This window comes from Homo sapiens, chromosome 1 (assembly GCF_000001405.40).
Source record: "Homo sapiens chromosome 1, GRCh38.p14 Primary Assembly".
In the NCBI taxonomy this organism is placed as follows: Eukaryota; Metazoa; Chordata; class Mammalia; order Primates; family Hominidae; genus Homo; species Homo sapiens.
The window spans coordinates 110,145,623-110,162,332 of record NC_000001.11 but is presented as its reverse complement, the minus strand read 5'-3'; the positions used below and the strand labels follow the sequence as shown (position 1 = coordinate 110,162,332).

The 16,710-nt window shown below is 49.3% G+C and overlaps 1 protein-coding gene across 1 annotated transcript in view, besides 2 other annotated features; it reads right to left on the bottom strand.

Moving 5' to 3' along the window:
* SLC6A17 (solute carrier family 6 member 17) overlaps positions 1-11,839 on the bottom strand; it is a 51,709-nt gene extending 39,870 nt beyond the window's left edge. The window contains exon 1 of the mRNA NM_001010898.4: positions 11,450-11,839. The gene's annotated coding sequence lies outside the window, so the exon portion shown is untranslated. The remainder of the gene's footprint in view (positions 1-11,449) is intronic.
* Positions 9,872-10,166: an enhancer, noted in NCBI's record as "tiled region #9728; HepG2 Activating non-DNase unmatched - State 22:ReprW". NCBI's record gives its function as "activates a minimal TATA promoter and a strong SV40 promoter by Sharpr-MPRA in HepG2 cells {active_cell/tissue: HepG2}" and the evidence as "EXISTENCE:reporter gene assay evidence [ECO:0000049][PMID:27701403]".
* Positions 11,795-11,844: a silencer, noted in NCBI's record as "silent region_1168". NCBI's record gives its function as "represses an Ori minimal core promoter by ATAC-STARR-seq in GM12878 lymphoblastoid cells {active_cell/tissue: GM12878}" and the evidence as "EXISTENCE:reporter gene assay evidence [ECO:0000049][PMID:35858748]".

Here is a 16,710-nt window from a genome sequence, read left to right as displayed (position 1 = left end):
CACCTGCCCCAGGCACCTGTAACAATGGATGCGAAAGGTAAGTTCTGTCTGCCCTGCCACCCTCCATCAGCTGAGAGCCCACTGGAGCATGGTAGAGATGTGGTGACAGCCAGCCCAGCCGTATTCTAATTATCCCCCCCTTAGTAGCTGGGGTGGGTTGTGAAGTGGCTTTCACGAGCAACACGTCGGATGATGAAGCTGCAAGGTACTCTCTGAAAGGAGTGCCTCCATCCCTGAAAGCACAGCGCAGAGGGGCACGAGTGCCGAGAAGGCCCTTGGTGCCAGCTTGTCACTTAGCAACAGAGGTGGCTTGCAGCTCAGAATAGCTCCTGTGAGAGAAGGAGGTCGGAGCAAGTGAACTGCGAATCTTCTTGAAAGGAGAAAAAATAGTGTGACTGGGAGGCAGACAGGTAAAAATATCTCCTGCCAGAGGGGTGAGGGCTCCACGAAAATTTTTCAAGCACAGCATCCGGCAATAAGCTCAAGGTGGTGGGGGATGGCTGCTCTCACCCTGGCACCAGGACAAAGCCTGGAGCCCCTCCACCCCACAGCAGCCGGGGAGGAGGAGAAGGGAAGAGGGGCACTTTTGTAATGATGAAGGCAGCTCCCTGAGCACCCACCTCCTGGGCCTGGGGTGTTTCTTGCTGGGGAAGGTTCAGGTAACTCAAGGGACAAAGAGAATCATTTATTTTCCAAGTTAGACTCCCCAGGGGAGGTGAGTGGGGGAGCCACCATCTTTGGGGAAGCAGGCAGTCACCTAATTACAACGACCACAGACACCACAGTGCCTACCCTGCCCCGCCCCTCCCCGTGCTCCTGATCCTGCTACCCTTGGGTCTTGTGGCTCTGGAAAGAGTGGCTGTGGCCAAGCACATCCTTAAAAAGCACCTCTTCAGGGTGTTCCAACAGGCACCCTGAAGAGCCCCCAAGAAGAGGAAATCAGTGGAAGTGGTCCCCACTCAGGACCTCAAAGCCAACATCTAACTCAGGTATAATTGGTGGTGAGTAGAAACCAAGTCAGAGGATGCTTGGCAGCTTCCTGATTTCTTCATGACAGGCAGCTGTGGCCCAAACTGTTCTCCTAATTACCTCAGAGCCCCTGAGCTTTTACTGAGCCCAAAACAGGCCGGACTATTATCAGAGACACAAATTATTTTTAATTGTTTTATTAAAACCTCTGACAGTCACCTGGGGCAAACTGCTCCTGACAGGGCCTGGCCTTGACTTGGAGGCTGCTGCCCCTGGATGCTGCTGGCCCAGGACACAGGCAGGGACCCCACACCCTTCTTGACCTCTCTTGCCTCCACCCCCACCAGGTGTTGCAAGTCCTGTAGGCGTGCTCAGCTCTGTCCTCTTCCCACCCCTCTGCTCTAGTTCAAGCCTGCTCTCTGGCTAGATGCCTACAGCAGGCTCCCAGCTCACTTTCCCCGCTGGCATCCTACACATTGCCTTCAGTGGCATCTTCTAGAAATGCCACGCCACCCCACTCCCACTGCCTACTGAAGGGAGCCCAAGGCCCTTTCCCAGGCATTTGGGCCCCCTCTATCTCCCGGGCCTCGGCTTCCACTTCCTCCCAGCCCACTCACCACTCACTCTAGACTAACCACTTCCCATCCCCTGACAGCTGAAGCCTTCTAGGTCCCCTGCCTCGCCTCTATGACAACTCCTGCGAGTCTGTGAGTGAGCATTAACGCTCTGCCCTTCTCAGCACACTCCTTGTAACACCCTTTTACACTATTTTACTATTTGGCTGTCTGGTACAACTAGTTGTCGTTACGCCTGATCCCTTTTCTGAACAGCAATCTCCTTGAGGCAGGAGCGAAGGTGCATTCAGCTTTGTGCCCACCCTTCACTGCTTCCTACCCAACCAGTGCTTCGCACACACAGATTATCCTACACATTTCTGTGGGCAGAACATGGTATTTACAGGTGTTCTAGGGTCCCTGCCTTCCAACCCTCTGAGAACAACCTGCTTGCCATGTTGAAATCTTACTACTGCCTCACATTTGAAACAAAGAGGCGGGGTAAAACACTAACAGCAGTGACTAGAGAGACATTTGAACCTACCGGAAGTCTGCATGTCCCAGCCAGGGGGACTCTAATCCAGTGCAGCCCTGCAGCACACATGGGGAGAGCCCCAAGACTTGGAAGCCAGTTTGTTTCTTATTCATCTGTAAAATGAGGAGCAGTGCTTGCCTGCTTACCTACCAGCTGCATCTGGTTACCACATGGATGGAAGGAGAAAGAGAAAGAAAAGCTTATTGAAAAATCAAATGAACAGAGTGGTGATTTCTTTTTATTCCATTTCACAGATTTGTCGGGTTTGTGTTTTGGTCTTCCATTTCATACCTCAATTGACACCATCTTTGCTTCTGCAAGGCCAAATCCTGGTATCTTATCATAATATGAGCATGATAAATATGATATGATGGAATTGAATGAGTGCATAAATGAATTGATCCATTTTTGAACACCCCAAAGTTCCTGGAGTCCGATGTGTTTTTCCAACTTCTAGTTTTTTCCATTTTCTGATGCAATATTCTGATGCCAAGACCATATCATGCCCCAAGGATGCCCCAAGTGACAGTTTGAAAGCCAGGATACACTAAGAAGCCTGGCCATCCCTTTGTGACTTTTGGCCACTTTCAAAAGAGCCAGTATTTGTGCTGTACCTTCCCTACTTTGTAGACAGAATCCATCCTCACCTCAGGGAAATCATCTTTGGGTGGGCACAGTCCTGACACACAGCATGGCTTGGGACTTGTGGGACCATTCCAAACAAGAAATCCAGCTGAGGAGCCAGTGGCAACTTCTGCAGCCCTTTCTTACTTTCCTGTTGCATTTGCTGAGTCTGTTCTCTTGAGTCAATATCTTGTTTTCTTTGTCAAGAAGGAAGGGAAGCAGGAAAGGGGGCAGATGGTCCAGAGGGGGAGGAACTGGCACTGAAAAATGTGGGTGTGGCCAGTGCAAACAGATCTTGTGGTTCCATTTTACCATCTCACGTGGGAGAACGCATGCTCTGTGTGCATGTAAACAAGGGCAGCCCCAGAAAGCACCCCCCCAACCCATGCATTCTCTCTTTACTAGAATTCAGGTGCTGAGGGATCCACTGGGGGAACTTCTGAAGGCAGAGTGGGGTGTAGTAATAATAACAATGACAACACAGCACATAGGCCATAATTCTTGAGTCCCATCTCTGTGGCAACCACCATGCTGAGCACCAAACAGATATTAGCTCCTTTAATCCCGCCAGTAATTATATCAGGTAGATACCACTGTTACTCCCATTTTACAAATGAAGACATGGAAGCTGAGAGGGATAATTACCTATATTTCATTGAATCTAGGATCCTTTGATGCTGGCACTTTCTTGAACTTACCAGAAAGGGTTCATCAAAGTTTCCCACCCAACTAGGGTGAGCTGCCATAGACCCACAGCCATTTTGAAACAGCTATTGATTGCATGTCATGTCCTGATTTTAAGATGTGGCAATGTGCAAAAATACACATTTTGGAATTGATGAAATAAGGCAAGTCATCCAAAGCCCCTGGATCTGCACTGACAGACTGACCCTGGAGCCTGACTCTCAACCTCAATGCTATCATGGGTTTTAGAGCCAGGAAAACCTAAAGTCCTGCTCTGCCATTTATGAGATGTTGGTCTTTGGGAAAGTACATAACCCCTCTTGGTTTTACCTTCTAGACCTGAAAAGATAGGGATGAAGGATGCTACACCTCGTAGGGTTGTCATGAGTATAAAATGAGGTAACAAAAGAGTTATGCTCAACTCAGGCCAGGCCCTCAGGGGCATGCCATCAACCAGTGCCAGCTACCACCTTCATGTGAGAACATGTGGGAAATGGGCTTAGCCAGGAATCAAGGCATACTCACCCACATCCCACAACGCCCTGGAGCTGGGTGGGACATGCACGTGCAAGCCCAAGGACACAGTGGGCTGACAGGGGATACTGGGGCTCAGTTCTCCGACTTCTACTCCCCTTTTGGCCTGGAAGGAGAATAGAGCCCAGCGACTTCTATGAACTAGAGGTACTGCTGAAATATGGGATTTTAAAATATGGCATTTAAAATATTTTTAAATCTCTTTCCCTCCTTCTTTTCCTTTACTTCTTTCAACAAATATTTGCTGAACATTATGTTCTAGGCCCTGTTCTAGTACAACAGAGAACAGAGCAAATAATGTCCCTGCTCCATTGGATTTATTTCTAGTGCAGAGGGACAAATAGAAATCAGACAAATATATAATTTATAGTGTACATATAAACATACACTATATCTGATAGTATATATATCAAATAAACACATACAATATAGAGTATGAGGGGATGGAGCACAGCAGGGATGCTACAACAGAGATGGGGGTAAGGACGTATGCTCCGATAAGGTGACATAAAGACTTCAACGGAGTGAGAGAGTGGGCCATGTGGATGTCCTGGGAAAGCATTCAGAGCAGAGGGAACAGAAAGTGCAAATGTCCTGAGGCAGGACCTGCATGCCTGGTGAGTACAAGGAACAGACAGACGGCCATGTGCCTAGAGCACCCTGAACAATGGAAGAGTGGGAGGTGCTGGGCTAGGAAGACAGTGAGTGTCCAGAACAGGCAGGACTCAAGGAGCATGGAAAGGAGTTGGGGTTTTCTTTCAAGGCTAATGGGAAGCTGTTGGAGGTTTTCAAGCAGAGGAGTAATGTGACCTGACTATTTTTATTTTTATTTTATTTTATTTTTATTTATTTATTTTTTTGAGATGGAGTCTTGCTTTGTCGCCCAGGCTGGAGTGCAGTGGCGCAATCTCGGCTCACTGCAACCTCCACCTCCCGGGTTCAAGAGATTCTCCTGCCTCAGCCTCCTGAGTAGCTGGGATTACAGGCGCATGCCAGCACACCCGGCTAATTTTTGTATTTTTAGTAGAGACAGGGTTTCACCATGTTGGCAAGGATGGTCTGGATCTCCTGACCTCGTGATTTACCTCCCTCGGCCTCCCAAAATGCTGGGATTACAGGTGTCAGCCACCACACCTGGCCTGACCTGACTGTTTTTATAGGGATCAATGGCTGCTGGTAGGACAAGTGAAGAAACAGGGAGGGTAGGTAAGCGATGATGGTGATATGGATCAGGCTGTTGGATGAGACTTGAGATTTGAAGAGAAAGGGAAATGAGGACGTGAGGTGCTGAAGGGCACACCAGGTCTCAGACAGATAAAGGACCTGTGAGAGTATACCAATTTGGAAAAAGAAAAATTTTACAAACCAGATGTGCAAATAAAAGTCCAGGAATAACTAGTGAAAGCCTCATTCCCTTCTTTCCTCATTCATGGGGGGACCACCATGGGGACAGATGAGTCCTCACAGCATCTGCCAAAATAATCTGACCTGGATTTTCTTAAAACCACTATTTTCTGTTGTCTTAGAAAGAGACAGAGGGAACCAAGGGTGTTCAATTACCTGAGTTACCAAACGGACTGCTGAAGAGCTCTTGAAGGAATAGTGATCAGAAACCCTTAATTACAGTCCCAACATGATGTCTCTTTCCTGAAAATGAGAAGGGTTTGTGTCTCTTTTCTCATCAGCCTCCAGTGCAGCTTTGTAGAGGGCTGGGCAGAAAAGCATCCTATTGGGACAAGCCACAGGTGACCCACTGTGCTTACATGTGTTATTTATCCTCCCAACAACTTACGATAAAATACAATTCTTATCTTCAAGACAAAGAAGCCTCTATCATGTACAAGATTACCCAGCCATAAAATGGAAGAGCGGGGATTCAGACTGTCATCTACCAAACTGTAGCTATATTCTTTTTGACATACTGGTATGTTCCAATCTTTTGCATGTCATGACACAGAAAATAACACTATCATGGCACACTGGGGTACACGGAGGAGGCGCCACCATGCTAGGCCATCCCAGGCTACTCCAAGGGATGAGGGCATCATTATTTCTGGGCCACATGCTACCCATCTGTGGCACTGGTTGGGAAGTTCTGCAGTGCACCATGCAGCCTTGCAAAATGATACATTCAGGAAGTCAACAGTGGACTGAGCTCATCTACCACCATTTCTCCCAGAGAGCAGGATCTTCCTCACTTGACCAAGTTCTCTTCCAAAACTCACAATATAAAGCAATTTGGGGAACTGGTCAAGGAGATTCCTTTCAGCTGTTATGTGGAGTCCCAAATTACTAGCAGGCAGATGGCCCCAGTGGTGTGGCAGGACCATGGACAGCGCCCACCGGGCTATTCTGCGAGCCAGCCCCAGGTTGCGCAGTACAGAACATCTGCTCTCCTTCCTTTAGACCTGGGCAAAGGAAGGGAGACCCATGTCCTCAATGAATACTCACTTGGCAGTACATTCTGGAACCACCCTATCGAGTGACTATTCATTCCTCTTGCAAGGTAGTTTTAGCAAACATTGCTTCTGCTCCATTTAGAGCTGGTGTGGGATTTAAAGCCTCAGGAACCCAGGAGTCTTATAATTAAAGAAAAATGTAACTGGCAGAATTTTGGGGTGTGGACCAGTGAATTCCACTTGCAAGCAAAATAGAAGGTGGTAAATTGGTGGGATGCAGAATCCAGCAGAAATTCTAATTGAACCACTAATTAGAAATGATGGCGTACAGTGACAGGCAACTTGTTATCTTCAAATAAACTGCTAGGTAGGCTCGGGAAGGCAGAGTGGCAGCTCAGTGGGACAACTGCAGCTAATGAGGTGACCCCAGGGCCTGTGAGCTGGGGTACTCACTCCTCTGCTCTATATGTGCCTCACTCCCACTCCACAAGAGGACATAGACTGGACAGGGCTTTGTGCCTCAACTCCCTAGTTAGGGACTCAGGCAGCCTAGAACTCACCTGACCCAGAATTATTCTCTAACAAAACATACCTGGTTCTGAACATGAGAGTAAGTGTATACAGTAATTCATATTGCATCTGAGCTTATGTTCTTACATGTGAATTTTCTGTACATATTGAACGTCTAACTATGTATTTTTTAAAAAAAACTGGATTTGCCCATAAATGAGCAATGTTTTAAGAATCACTCATGGGAGGAGGAGAAGGAAGAGAAAGAGAATTATCAAAGGACTTATCTCCACAAAATGGCTGCCTATGAAGCAAGGGTTTCTGGGAAGTCCTTTTCGTCCACTGCCAGTGAGGAGCATTAATACTTACATTCAGTTATCCACCTTCAGGAACTTCCCCACTGAGATCTCAGGTGGTTTGGAGATGATGGGCAGGCTAGGACAGCATGGGCCTGTTCTGGGGATGGCGATTTTTCAGAGAAAGAGAAGAGACAGAGAAGCTGGAGGAATCAGGTGCCATGTTTCCCAGAACGGCCACGGACACGTGTGGCAGAGTTTTGGAGTGAGGAGAAAGTGGGCTCTCTGTGGGAAAAGACCAGGAAGAAGCAAGTGGAATCTCCCCAAGCAGCCCTGCCAGCAGCTGCTGTAAATAACCTTGAAGTGTTAGTAGTTTTCTCTGGGGTCTGGGGCCTCACCAGAAACTGCTACAAATCCCTGGCATACACTCTTCAGCAGAGAAATCTGACCCACCAAGCTCCCATCAGCAAGTGGCCGTCCTTGATTCTGCATATGCAGAAATTCTCAGGGCAACATCCACCGGCTCTGACTCCTCTCACTGCTCTACACACGAACCCCTAGCTTAGACAGATTTTAAGGGAATGAGGTCAAGGGCAGTAGAGGTCAGGAAGAGAAGGGCAGGGAAAGGACAAGAAAGCACCAAGATGAAGCCTGGGATCTTTTTCTGTATTTCAACCCACCTGGAGCCAAATACCATGTTCCCCAAACCTTGGACGTTTGGTTATGTTTGTTTTCCACCAATTTCCAATTAGTACAGGCCGATTTCCCCTTTTCCCGGGGCACTAACTTAAAAAAACTGGACCCACAGCTCTAGACAATCTTGTTTGGGTAAATGCCTAGGTTGTCAGCATTTATTAAGAATGTATTGCGGAAAAGTATCACATAGAGGTTAGGAACATGAAGTTTGGACTGATAGAGTTCCAATTCTCTAGTTGCCACTCACCTGTGTGACCTTGAACAAATTATTTAACCTCTCTGAACCTTAAATTTTACAATCTGTAAACTGGAGATAGCAATATCTGTCTCCTGGGATTGTGGTGAAGATTAAATGAGATGGTCTGGGAATAAAGCACTTAGCACAGCACAGAAGCCTCAATAAGCAACTGGATATTATCAATTTGTGCCAAGCACAGTGTGAGCCACTGGAATCCAGAACAGCACTCACCCCTCCTAAAAGCATGCAAAGTAGGCATTTCCTTACATATCACTGCCCCACTTGAGTTTGGGATACTGCTCTAGCAATCACATCTACCTATGGCTCTGTGCTTCTGACCTCTGGCAGCCAGCAACATCATTCAGGGGAGGGAAACACAGGGGCTGAGGTGACAGGTTTTTTTTCCCCCATCCTGGTGCTCCAGATGTTTGGCTGTGAGGACTTCTTGTAGCTCAGCCTGGGAGCAAGTGATAACTCAGAGCTAGTTCTAGCAAAAAAGCTTAAATCCATCTTCCCCTTAAACTATTCTGCTGCTTATCTTAGCAGCTTTAAAGGGATTAATGATGAATTGTCCTGCTGCAGCAAACCTGGACAGAAAAGGAGTATAAAGGAAGGGAGGGTACACAGGCAGAAGGAACCTGTTTCTCTGGAATCTTCTCATCTCTGTTTCTGCCATCCTTGGAATTTGCTCCTGGATCCAATGGGGAGGGCATTGGCTACAGAATGAATGGTGAATGCAATGCACACACACACACACACACACACACACACACATTTCCAGTAGCAGATTGGAGTCCCCTGAGCCAGCATGGCTTCTTTCTTGCTGCACTGGGGATCCCCTTATTTCCTTCACTCTTAAGGCACACACATCTTAGCTCAGCACCAAATCTGGACATTTTATAGACGGAGAAAACTAGGGGCCCAGGGTCCTTCAGGAAAACAGGAATCACACACCTCACTTTCCTTTCCAGGAGAGGCCAGTCTCAGCTCTCCTGAACAGTTCTCTTGTAACTTTCAATTCTATTATGGATAGAATGGGTGGGGAGGAGGATGGTAAGACCTGAACAAAGAGAAGTGACCCCTGAAGTCCACCCAGCACGTGCTGCAGCTTGGGACCAGGCTACAGTCAGAAACAACCCCAAGGAGTCAAGGTCTGTGGTGCTGGAGTCACCCCAGAGCTGTTGCAGGTGGCCAAGGGCAGCCAGCAGACCCAGCACAGCTGAACCCCACCCCTACCCCAACACTAATCCTGCTCTTAAGCAGGCTTCCCAATTTAGGGTCTCATGGGGAGACTTGAGGGTTGGAAACAGGTCTATGTGAAGCTGAGTTACAGGTCCTTCTTAATCACATGGGAAGCACCGAACCTTCATGTGTCCCCACAACCCCTTTCATGATGGAGCAGAAGCAATGAGAGAAAGAATTGCCTCTGGTTAAGGCCCATAAGGGAAGGGATGGGGAACTAACATCTAATGAGCACCTGCTGTGTCTAGCACCTGGCTCAAAATAAGCCTGCAGAAATAATATCATAGGCATCCCTGTTTTACAACTGAGGAAACTCTGAGACTCCCGAGGTGAATTGACTTGCCCAAGGTCACCCCACTGGCACATGGCAGAACACTGGGCCCAGTTCTGACCACAATCACAGAGCCTTTCCTTACCCTCCCCTTCACCTCTCCCCATCTCCCTGCCCAGCCCAGCCTGGCCCTGCTCACCTTCCCAAGGAGTCAGAGCTCCAGGACCCTTGCTCAACAGCCAGAGCTCTGCTTAGCTCCTTCAGAGGACTTGCCCACCTCTGCCCAAAACACTTGGGCTCAGGCCATTCCTGCTCACGAGTCCTGCTAAAGAACTCCAATCAACTCACAAACAGCTGACACACGACTCTGTGTGTGACTCAGGCCAAACAAACTCACTCCAATCAGAGCTGGTGGGCACCATTTGCCTCCTGCACTGAGTCACCCTCCAGGCTGAGCTTCAGGGATTCGCTGAAACTCAACCACCTACTTAGCCACAGATGTTCCATTGGAGAAAAATCCGGCAGTGGAGCTAAAGCCTCTGACGGTCCTCGTGGATGAGCCATGGCCAAGGACAATCAGGTGTGACCTCAAAGCTCTTCCTGCCCAGGTGATGGGTCCGCCTCACAGAGCCATGGGATAATGTAAGCACAGAACGAGACACAAGAACTCCCCACTGTTAACCTCAACACACTCTGACCTTGTTCTCCAGACATCAGTGAGCGTGTCCAGCAAGGCCTTAACAGTTAGGCGCTAACTAAAGTTTTGGCCGAATTTTTTTGGAGCCATTACAGGATTGTCTTTGTTCCTGAAGTTCCTGTTAACAAGGACAATGCCCGGAAAAGAATCTTCCTCCTCATTACCACTTCCCTGTCTCCCCAACCCACCCCCATCTGCCTCAAGTTCACAGCTGAATTGCCCAAAGGTAGCTCTGGTTAGAAATCTCGTAATCCAAAAGGCCTGTTAAAGTATTTCTTAAAAAAAAAAAGGAAAGAGGAATGGCATCAAAAAATATTTTCTAAAGCCAACTTGACAGGGCCTAGGTCCTGTAAGGTGAATGGCCTTGGGATTTCTGAATTTGATTTCTGACAGGGCTGTCTGGGCTTTAAAAGGAAACATCACGCTTCTTTCCAAGGCAGCCGCGCCCCTGGGGAGCGGCCCACCCATAGTACTGCGAGCATCCAGCATCGCTTCAGAGCACGGCGCACACAGGCATAAATGCAGCAGAGGCCTCTCGACCCGCCAGGACGGCGCCCCCTCCAGATGGGCACCACACGCACGTCCCCTGTCTCAGCCATTCCGTTCCCCAGATGCGCTTCCCACGAGGGAGGAAGGGCTCTCTGCTAGCTCCGAATCCAGCGAGGACCAGCCCCAGGACTGAGAATTAAATATTCATCTCGGGCGTGACAGTTCTGCTTCGCTTGCCAATGTTACTGTCAAGGTCACAGGCCTGAGGCCGAGCGGCTGGGGCTGGGGTCTCCAGCTGCGTAAGAGGCTCCCAGTGGAACTGCGCCCTGGGCGCGCAGTTTCAAGCCGCGGATGGGCCGGACAGGCCCCCTCCGGTTCTCCGCGGGCGCTTGCCTCCGCAGCTAAGCCCAATTTCCTCCGGAGTTCTTGGGCCCTTCTGAGCACCAGAAGCTGAAGCCCGGTGTCCAACCCGTGCGTACGCCGCTGGGGACCCCGATGCGCGAAGGAGAGCGGGCCCCGGGGCTCCGTCGCCAGGCAACGGCGGCTGGAGCGGCGAGAGGAGCCCGGGACGAGCGCAGGGTCGGGCGGATGCGGGGGCAGCGCCGCCTCACACCTTGGTCCTCAGCCCTCCCTGGCTGGGGCGGGGCCAGAACAGGGAAAGTTGCAGTGGCCGGCCCGGTAAAGCCAGGCGGGGCGCGGCCAGCGACTCACCTGTCACGCGTGGGTAGTCGCGCAGACTCGGCCCGTGCACTCCGGCCGAGCAGCTGCGATCCCCGACGGGTCGCGGACGCACAGCTCCTCCCCCGGGCCACAGGCCCCCGGCTGGGGCTGGGGCGACCCGGAGCTGCGCGCCGGCGCACGCGACTCCGCTCGCTCCTCACTCCCTGCCTCACCACCAGTCCCAACCTGGCTCCCGCCCGCCGCGCGCTCGGGGCTCAGGGGAGCGGCGCGGGGACCCAGGTCCCACGGCGGAGAGAGCGCGCGGGATTGCGAAGACTGGGGCCGAGTGCCGCCCTCCCTGCGCCCTGGCAGCGCCGGCTCTGCGGAGCAGAACGGAGCTGGGCGGAGCGCTGCGCGCACTGTTCCCTCGCTTTCCGAAAGGCCACCCTGGCGGCGGGGCGCCGTGACGCAGGCTTGACTCACGCGCGGGCCGGCGTCAATGCGAGGCTCTCGGGCAGCGAGCGAGGCTCTGATGGCCGACGTAGGCGGAGAGGGTGGGCGTGGGGCGGGAGAGGGAGTTGCAAGGGGGCTTAGCTTCTTGAGGCCCCTGGTCAGGGGATGCAGACCCTGGAGCCCTCGCCAGGGCTTCTGCCCTCGGAGAGGAATGGGGCCCCAATGGTTAAAGCCCTCCTGGACCCTGGGCCTCACTTTCTTCTTTTCAGACTCACCTCTTTTGGCCTTCTTTAATGAACTCAATCTCAATTCATGTGGTTATTTCCCCTGCCCTAGACATTTCCACCTCCGTGCTTCTGTTCCCTTTCCTCTAGATGTCCTTCCACTCCTCCGTCCTTCCATCCTACCATTCTGCAAGGCCGTTCCCTGTGCAGGTCAACTCTTAGGACATCACTCATCTGTTGAGCACCTACTGTATGCCAGGGGCTGCAGAGGCTGAAAGGATCACAGACGTGAGGGAACCTCCTGGAGAGGCAGTGTGGGTTGACCCAGGTCTTTACAGTACAAAGCGAAAGGATTGGAGAACCGTACAAGATGAGTAAAGTGGGGAGACAGTGACAGGGAAATTCTGACTGGTCTCTGAGTAGGCCTCTTGGAAGATCCTGGCCTAAAGGATGGACAGTCAGAAGGGGAGAAGGATGACCCCTGTGGAGTGGACAGCATGGCAAGGGCATAGATGCAAGAGAGTAGAAACGTATGCGTGGGGTGGGGTGGTGGTTGCCTGAGCTGGAGCAGGGGTGGGGATGATGAGAGGTGAAGTTAGACAGGGAGGCAGGAGCCATCCTGCCAGGGCCTTGGGGGGCTGTTATGAGAGTCTGGATGAATTATCTCTCTTCTAGGGAACACTAAGGGGGCCTTTGGCATCCAAGGGAGGTGTTTGGGAGGAATGGGAGATGGAGGTTGTCTTAGTGAAAGGTGGTAAGGGCCATTGTCAAGAACTCTGAAGAGTCTGAGATTTTACACTTACAATCTAAGTTACCCTGCCAGTTTCATGGATGCCATCAGAAGACAGGAAACTCTGGGCCAGACACAAAGGACTTTAATTACTCATGGCACAGCAGGCTGCAAGAGCTTCACATTCAGATCACCTTCCCTTAACTCTGAAGTCCTATGGGTGGGACATGAGACTGGACCACACACACTGAGAAACTCCAAGCTTAGGAAACCTCAATCTTTTATAATGCGCTGCAAGCAAACTTGCCCGACATTTGCCTTAGACATATCTTTATTATACTGGACAGCAAACAGAACTGCTCTCCACTAGAGGGAGACGCTATCGTTGGAGGCTGTTTGCTATGCAACCATCCTCTAAAAGATAATGGGAACAAAAAAGCCATCAGTGCCTCTGCCCACAAGACTTGTGGGAACACAATAAACCCATAGAGAATTATCTCCTGATAGAAAAATTCTTTCAACAATTATTTAGTGAGCCTAATGGTTACTTTACACTGTTCCAGGCCCTAAGGAGACAGCAAAAAATGAGACAGATAATAATCTCTGCCCTTATAGGGTTTACATTCTGGTGGAAGCAACCAGGGAAGCAGATGGGGTGGAGTGGCATGGCAGGAAGTAGCAAGAGACAGGACAGAGATGAACAAATAGAATGTGACAATTGACGTGGTATGGGAGGTGGGAGGAAGGAACCTATCAGAGATAGGCAGTATTAAGGCAAGAGAACTTACAGGTGGTGTGGTCATGGAAAGGGGAAGGACTTTGGAGCCTCATAGATCTAAGTTTTCATCCTGACTGCCATTTACTAGAGACCTTGAGCTAGTGACACAACCTCTCTGAACTTCTGTTTCCGTGTCTGTAAAATGAATGGTACATACCTCATAAGGTTGTTATGATGATCATGAGATGATTGTTCTAAAATATCTGTTATTGGCCAGGCACGGTGGCTCACAGCTGCAATCCCAGCACTTTGGGAGGCCAAGTTGGGAGAATTGCTTAAGCCCAGCGTGGGCAACATAGCAAGTGCTCTTCTCTAAAAAAAAAAAAATAGTAAAATATCTGTTATCATATCTGATAACATGTTCTTAATAAATAACTGTTATTAGGGGTATTACTAGGTGATTGTATTGTTATTAACCAAGATGGGGAATTTAGAAAGAGGAGCAGATTTGGGGAAGAAGGTAAAGAGATAATGGATTTGGGACATATTGAAAATGACATGTCTGTGGGATATCAAGGTGACAACTAGAAGATGCCCTTGCCTCACTGCCTTTTATCACATCTACCCAGTGAAACCCCACCCTTGAATGAACTTAATACCTGGTTTCTTTGTGCCAAGTTCTCTAGACAGAAACACACCACAGACCAGTCTCTGTCTGCCTTCATGGCCACCAACTTCAAGTGGGCTCCTCACACTTCCTAAGGACTTCCCTGTAATTCTCTGGTCAACTTACTTCCCCACTCTGATCAAGGCCATTCCAACCAGAACTCTCCCCAAACACTCATCCTACTTTCCCCCCACGTCATACTTCCCTGCTGTCTCAGGAACTGCCTTACTTCATTTGGAAGACCCCTCGGTTTTCCAACGAGAATTAAACCGTTTCCATCTGCACATACCCTCTTCTCCCTCTTCCCTGGATATGGTAGGGAGAGTCTCTCCTCTGTAGACCAGCCTCCACCTGTCCCCTGGGTCCCATGGCCCCACACCTTCTTGAGAACCTCAGCTACCCATTAGTTAATCCAGTCTCTCCTGTCTGTCTCATTAACTTTCCCTTTCTCTGGATGCTTTTTAGCAGCTCGAGAGCATATGCAAATATCTTCCTTTAAAATGTCACTAGAGTCCATCTCAAAAAAAAATGTCACTAGGCTCTCATCCCTCATTTCTTCATTTTCTGCCTCCATTTCCTCACCCCTACACACTCCTTAACACACTTCTGCCCCATCATGCTGCCAAGAAGGGTCTCACTAAGGTCACCAGTGACTTCTGTGTCACTAAATCCACAGGACATCTTCCAGTCCTCATCTTACTGACCTTTCTGTAATGCTTATTGTGGGTGCCCTCTCCTTCCTTCTGACACTCTCTTCCCTCCCCTTCTGGAATTCTGCGCTCCCAGGTTTTCCTCCTAGCCTTCTGCTCACCCCTCAGTTTCCGTTGCTGATCTTTAAGTGTTGGACGTCTCGCAGCCAAACCCTCTTCTCACTCTGTACCCTTCCTAGACCATCTCCTACACTGATGACTTCTGCATGTCTGTCTCCATTCCAGACAGTCTTCTGAGCTCCACATATTCACCCTCCAACTCCACCTTTCCACTTGGCTCCACAGAGCTACACATGTTGAAGAAATGAACTCAACATTCAAAGATCTACCCTGCAGAACATTCAGCAGTTGGCTTCTTGCTTCTCCTCCTGTGCTCCCTGGCTCTGTGAATAGTTGAGCCAGCCAAAACCCCAATAATCACCCTTGAGACTTCCCCTTTCATAAAATCTATCAGTAAATCCTGGAGATCTTAGTTGCTACATACCTCTGGGATCTGGTCGTTTCTCTTTAATTCTGCTGCCACCACCTCCCGCCCCCAACTGCCTATTCCAAACTATAATAATCACTCACCTGGACTCACAGTCCCCTCTTGACACTAACTCCAGTCTTACTCCCTTCTCTCCACATAGCAGCAAGAGTGATCTTTTAGAAGTACAAATATAATCACAACCTTTTTAAGCTTGCAGAGTTGCACCCACATCTTTAGCATGTCTTTCAGGGACCTTCCCTGTCTCCAGCCTCATCTCACACCCTTCCCCCCATGGACTTCCCTGTAATACACCACCCTTCTTTCAGCTCTTCCTACCCCCCCCACTCCTTCCTGACTCAGACTTTAGCCCATAAGCCCTGACAGGGATCTGCTCAGTCCCCCTTGTTCTCTTCCCTCACTGCCTGCCCACTCGTCCAACAGAGTTCACCATGAACTGGACCCTCTCCTGACCATGGAGAAGAACTGGGTCAACCTCCCAGCTGGACTTTTCTTCTCCTTTTTAGCCCTTGTCACAATTGTAATTAAGTACTGAGGGCATGACTGGTTGCTTAGGGACAGTCTCCTTGGTTGATGTGGAAGCTCCACAGGACAGAGGCCATGCCCAACTTTAACACACAGTAGACTGTCCATAAATAGTTGATGAAATCTGAATAACTAAAAATAATATTGCTAGTCTAAAATCACTCCCATATTGCTTTGATTTGTAAGTTCAACCTTGTTTAAATAAAAAGAAAAACAATGTGAAAAAAAATAGTTGATGAAAGAATACCTAAGGTGTGGTTAGAAATATGAGTAGAAAGTCCAGGAAAGAGGGCAGGAGACACACACTTGGAAGTCATAACCATAAAGGGTTTGGGGGAAGGCGAGACTCTCTTGAGGAAGCACACAGAAGATGGTCATGAGGATAGAGGCTTGGCAGGACATGCTTATTTCTGAGGAGCAGGAGGGGCAGGAAAGAAGACAGAGAAGAGTCAAGAGCTGAGAAGATGACATGTATCACAAAAGAAAGAGAATTGTAAGAAGGAAAGGTAGTTCACAGTGTTGAAATCTGCAGCAAAGTTAAAAAGATGAAGCCTGAGAGGTGTCCTCGATGACAGCACTCATGGGGAGGTGGGCCTGAAGCCACAGGAAGGGGCTGAGATGGAAATGGGAAGAAAGGCCTCCACCATGAAATCTTCCTGAACACTCCAGCTGTCAGTGGCCAACTCTCCTCTGAGCATCTAGAAAACAAATTCTTCCTTTTCTATGGCATATGGAAATACATAAACTTATACAGTGTAATATTATAAGGTCAGTATTATTCAAATTCCCATTTCACTA